The sequence below is a fragment of the Homo sapiens genome, chromosome 17 (assembly GCF_000001405.40).
Source record: "Homo sapiens chromosome 17, GRCh38.p14 Primary Assembly".
NCBI lineage: Eukaryota > Metazoa > Chordata > Mammalia > Primates > Hominidae > Homo > Homo sapiens.
This window is the reverse complement of record NC_000017.11, coordinates 54,660,202-54,665,638: the sequence shown is the minus strand read 5'-3', so window position 1 is coordinate 54,665,638 and position 5,437 is coordinate 54,660,202. Positions and strand designations below refer to the sequence as shown.

General features: G+C 41.4%; 2 annotated features.

The window, feature by feature from the left end:
* Window positions 1,703–2,239: an enhancer, noted in NCBI's record as "H3K27ac-H3K4me1 hESC enhancer chr17:52740761-52741297 (GRCh37/hg19 assembly coordinates)". NCBI's record gives its function as "activates a minimal SCP1, AML or CMV promoter by ChIP-STARR-seq in naive H9 embryonic stem cells {active_cell/tissue: H9 hESC(naive)}" and the evidence as "EXISTENCE:reporter gene assay evidence [ECO:0000049][PMID:30033119]".
* Window positions 2,240–2,777: an enhancer, noted in NCBI's record as "H3K27ac-H3K4me1 hESC enhancer chr17:52740223-52740760 (GRCh37/hg19 assembly coordinates)". NCBI's record gives its function as "activates a minimal SCP1, AML or CMV promoter by ChIP-STARR-seq in naive H9 embryonic stem cells {active_cell/tissue: H9 hESC(naive)}" and the evidence as "EXISTENCE:reporter gene assay evidence [ECO:0000049][PMID:30033119]".

Sequence of the window (5,437 nt, the reverse complement as noted above, 5' to 3'; positions counted from 1 at the left end):
CTAATTTATCTCTGTCTTAAATGGATAATACAAGTCATTCCAGCTTCCTATTAGTTTACATTCTCTCTCTCTCTTTTTTTTACTCTATATTCTTGAAGGTCTTTGAGCTCAGAGGAGAGCCTGCTCAGCCCCCTTCCCCCTCTCTCTTCAACCTACCCATCACACATAGGCTCCACCAAGCAGTGTGTTTGCTTTCTCAGATTGATCATACTGCAGATGCACAGAACTTTCTCTGCTATCATAGGTGCCACTTCCATTGCTACATCTGATGAAATATGTTAATGTTGCCTTCATTGTTGATGAAAGCAACAAACTTATCCACCATTTAGAGGTGGCATAAAAACAAATTCAAATAAATATAAATGTGTAGTCTGATGTACATGACCCTAGCCTCTTAAGAAGGTGTGGCTTTATGTTTTTAAGAAATGGAAAGCTTTTGTTTTTGCTTCTTGCTTTTTTTTTGGCAACATCTGTTGGCTTATACTTGGCATCTTTTGTAATGCACCTGTGTAGGAAACAGCAAATTCAATGGAGAAGGAGGAAAGGTGTACAGGAATAGAGGATATGTGGGAAAGGCATTTAAAATGTTATCAAGTTATGAATGCCAACATTTCACTTTTTCATGCTAAATAAAGAAGTACTGCTGATGCATGTGTGAACATGTCCACATGTATTGTCTTTGATGCTCTTGGTCTTATAATTAGGCAAACATAAGTTTATTTTTTCAATTTGTGTGTCATGGCAAAGGCATAACTGATGTTTCAAATACAGGCTTAGTTTTGTAAGAACTCCTGTGTCCCTCTCCCTTCTTACTCTCTAAGGTGAAGACCCAATCTTCCGGAAGAATAGCTCCTTAGGGAGCAGTCTTAGTCTATCTATTCTGTTTTCTCAGTAGCTTTTGGATCCTCTCAAATTGCTACTTCCTTTAGAGCTTTGTGTGCAGATCAAGGAGTCTTTGGTGAGTGCTGTGGGGATATAATACATATAAACCAAACAGGGGCCCTTTTCTGGGTTATCTCTTGGCCAGTAAGTTGATCTGATTGCTTTGAACATTGCCTGTCAGGAGTCATGGAATGGCTTGGCAGCAAATCAAGAAAGACTCAGAATAGGTGATGGTGGGAGGTGGTGGTGACAAAAAACAAACAAAAAAACACTGATATAGCACTTAGATTTAACACCTTTTGTCCAAATATTTTACCTTTAAGGGTACTTTTGACATTAATTGGGAATTGACTTAATTTATATGAAAATATTCATTGGGGGCTGGCAAGAAGTTACAGAGGTAGACAGCCTGATTTGCCTCTGCAGGTGATAAGTGAGCATGCTCATGATTTGGAGTCTGTCAGACCTGGATTTAAATCATAGCTCCACTCTTCTTTGCTTCTTTGGACTAAGTACTTTTTTTCAATTTCCAATGCAGAAATTCTCTTGCTATGTTCTACTAGATAATGGCTATTCATCCACTGGATGTTATCTTAAACAATACCTTTTCTGAGATGCCTCACAAGATCCTTTAGTCTAGGTTAAATCTTCCTCCTCTAATTACAGGCCTCCTTCAGTAACATGTATCTTATATGAGGACAAAGATTTTGATCTTCCTCACCATGGTATCTTCAGCATCTAGCAGCATGTCTTGTATCTGAATTGTAATTTTTGAATGAATCACTTAAATTCACCTTACAGAATTTACATTTTCAGCGTGGGGCCAAGATGGGCGAATAGAAGCAGTGGCCATCAGAGGCTCCCATCGAAAAGAATCACAATTAGAGTGTGAATCCTGAACTGGCAATTAAGGTATCCAGTTTCTCTCATCAGAACTGACTAGGCGATGGCATGATCCACACAGAGGGAGGAAAAGCAGTGTGGTGCCGTGGCCCACCTGAGAGCCACACAGGGCAGGGGAGCCCCCACCCCCAGCCAAGGGAGGTGGTGAATAAGCATGCTACCCAGCCAGGGAAACCATGCTTGTTCCACAGAACTGTGCAACCCATGGATCCAAAGATCCCACTCACGAACCCACGCCACCGGGGCCTAGGGTCCCAATCCTGGAGCCGTGCAGATTTTCAACAGCCTCTCAGCTAGAATCTGCTTAAGCCTGCCTAGTTCCTGGGAGGAGGGGTGACTAGCACCACAGCTGCAGCTGACTGCTCTCTAAGCCTTTTGAGCTCCTTGAGGGAGAAGCAGCAGCCAGCACTGGGACTCATAACTGCCTAATGCGCTAAGCTCCCTGGGGTGGGGAAGGGCAGAATTCATCTCTATAGCTCCAGGCTGCACTTTTCCCCTGCAGGAGCCAGGGAGGCTGGACGGCTTGGTCCCAAGAGGTGCCCCCAAAAGCCCAACACACCGGCTGTGGCAGACTGTGGCCAGAACGCCTCTTCAGGCCTGACCCTAACCCATTCTTCCTCACTGGGTGGGGCTTCCCTGCAAGAATTCCTACAATTCCAGCCAGAGGCTCAGGGACAAAACTGTGAGCTCCCTGGGCCTGAGCCTCTAGGGGGCGGGGTGGCTATAGTCTCTGCAGAGCAGCAGATTTAGCCTCTCCTCCTACTAGTTCTGAAGAATCCAGGCAGCCCAGATAAGTGGATTTACCCCAAGCAAAGCACATCCCCTACACCAAGGGACAAAGTACTTCGTTAAATAGGTCCTGTTCTCAGTGCCACCCAACTGAGTGAGAACCTCCAAGAGGGGTTGTCAGACACCCTATACAGGAGTGATCCTACTGGCATCAGGTTGGTGCCCCTGTAGGTCAGACATCCAAGAAGGAGCAGGCATACATCTTTGCTGTTCCCAGTTTCCTTGAGTGACATCTCCAGGCATGGGAGTAAGCCAGATGAATAGAGTCTGAAATGAACCCCCAGGAAACCACAGCAGTCCTACATAAGAGGGACCTGACCATTTAAATAAAAATAAACAGAAAGAAACAACAACAACAGCATCATCGACAACAAAAGAGTCCCAACAAAAACCCCATCCAAGGGTTAGTAGCCTCAAAATTGAAACTAGACAAACTCATGAAGATAAGAAAGAACTAATGAAAAAACGTTGAAAATCCTAAAGACCAGAGTGCCTCTTCTCCTCCAAATAATTGCAATGTCTCTCCAGCAAGGGCACAGAACTGGATGGAGGATAAGCTGGAGAAATGGACAGAAGTAGGCTTCAGAAAATAAAAAGCTCTATTGAGCTAAAGGAGCATGTTCTAATCCAATGAAAAGAATCAAAGAACCTTGATAAAAGGTTAGAAGAGCTGCTAACTAGAATAACCAGTTTAGAGAGGAACATAAATGACCTGATGAAGCTGAGAAACACAGAGGAGAACTTCAGGAAGTGTACACAAGTATCAATAGCTGAATTGACCAAGTGGAAGAAAGGATATCAGAGTTTGAAGACCACCTTGCTGAAATAAGCCATGCAGAAAAAAAATAGAGAAAAAAGAGTGAAAAGGAGTGAACAATGCCTCTGAGAAATATGGGACTATGTTACAAGAGCAAACCTATTATTGATTGGAGTACCTGAAGGAGATGGGGAGAATGGAAACAAGCTGGAAACTACACTTCAGGATATTATCCAGGAGAACTTCCCCAACCTAGCAAGACAGGCCAACATGCAGATTCAGGAAATACAGAGAACACCACTAAGATACACCACAAGAAGATCAACCCCAAGACATGTAATCATCAGACTCTCCAAAGTCAAAATGAAGAAAAAAATGTGAGGGGCAGCCAGAGAGAAAGGCCAGGTTGCCTAACAGTGGACCTCTCAGCAGAAACCCTACAAGCCAGAGGAGACTGGGGGCCAATATTCAACACTCTTAAATAAAAGAATTTACAACCCAGAATTTCATATCCAGCCAAACTAAGCTTCATGAGCAAAGGAGAAATAAAATTCTTTCCAGACAAGCAAATGCTGAGGGATTTCATCACTACCAGGTCTGCCTTGCAAGAGCTCCTGAAGGAAGCAGTAAATATGGAAAGGAAAATCTGGTACCAGCCACTATAAAAACACACCAAAATATAAAGACCAATGACGCTGTGAAGAAACTGCATCAACTAATATGCAAAATAACCAGATAGTGTCATGATGACAGAAACAAATTCACATGCAACAATACTAATCTTAAATGTAAATGGGCCAAAGGCCCCAATTAAAAGACACATACTGGCAAATTGGATAAAGACTCAAGACCCATCAGTGTGCTATATTCAGGAGACCAATTTCACATGCAAAGACACACAGAGGCTCAAAATAAAGGGATGGAGGAAAATTTACCAAGCAAATGGAAAGTAAAAAAATGCAGAAGTTGCAATCCTAGTTTCTGACAAAACAGACTTTAAACCAACAAAGATTTAAAAAGACAAAGAAAGGCATTACATAATGGTAAAGGGATCAATTGAACAAGAAGAGCTAACTATCTTAAATATATATGCACCCAATACAGGAGGACCCAGATTCATAAAACAAGTTCTTAGAGATGTACAAAGAGACTTAGACTCCCACAGAATGATAGTGGGAGACTTTAACACCCCACTGTCAATATGAGATCAATGAGACAAAATTAACAGGATATTCAGGACTTGAACTCAGCTCTGGATCAAGTGGACCTAATAGACATCTACAGAACTCTCCACCCCAAATCAACAGTATATACATTGTTTTCAGTGCCACATGGCACTTATTCTAAAATTGGCCACATAATTGGAAGTAAAACACTTCTCAGCAAATGCGAAATAACTGAAATCCTAACAAACAGGCTCTCAGACCACAGTGAAACCAAATTAGAACTCAAGATTAAGAAACTCACTCAAAACCACACAATTACATGGAAATTAAGCAACCTGCTCCTGAAAGACTCCTGGTAAATAATGAAATTAAGGCAGAAATCAAGAAGTTATTTGAAACCAATGAGAACAAAGAGAGAGCATACCAGAATCTCTGGCACACAGCTAAAGCAGTGTTAAAAGAGAAATTTAAAGCACTAAATGCCCACACCATAAAGCTAGAAAGACTTCAAATCGACACTCTAACATCACAATTAAAAGAGCCAGAGAAGCAAGAGTAAACTAATCCAAAAGCCAGCAGAAGGCAAAAAATAAGTAAGATCAGAGCAGAACTGAAGAAGATAGAGACATGAAAAACCCTTCAAAAAATCAGCGAATCCAGGATCTGTTATTTTGAACAAATTAACAAAATAGATAGATGGCTAGCTAGACTAATAAAGACAAAAAGAGAAGAATCAAGTAAACACAATAAAAAATGATAAAGGGGGTATTACAACTGACCCCACAGAAATACAAACTACCATCAGAGAATACTATAAACGCCTCTATGGAAATAAACTAAAAAATATAGAAAAAATGGATAAATTCCTGGACACATACGCCCTCCCAAGAATATACCAAGAAGAAATCAAATCCCTAAATAGACCAATAACAAGTTCTGA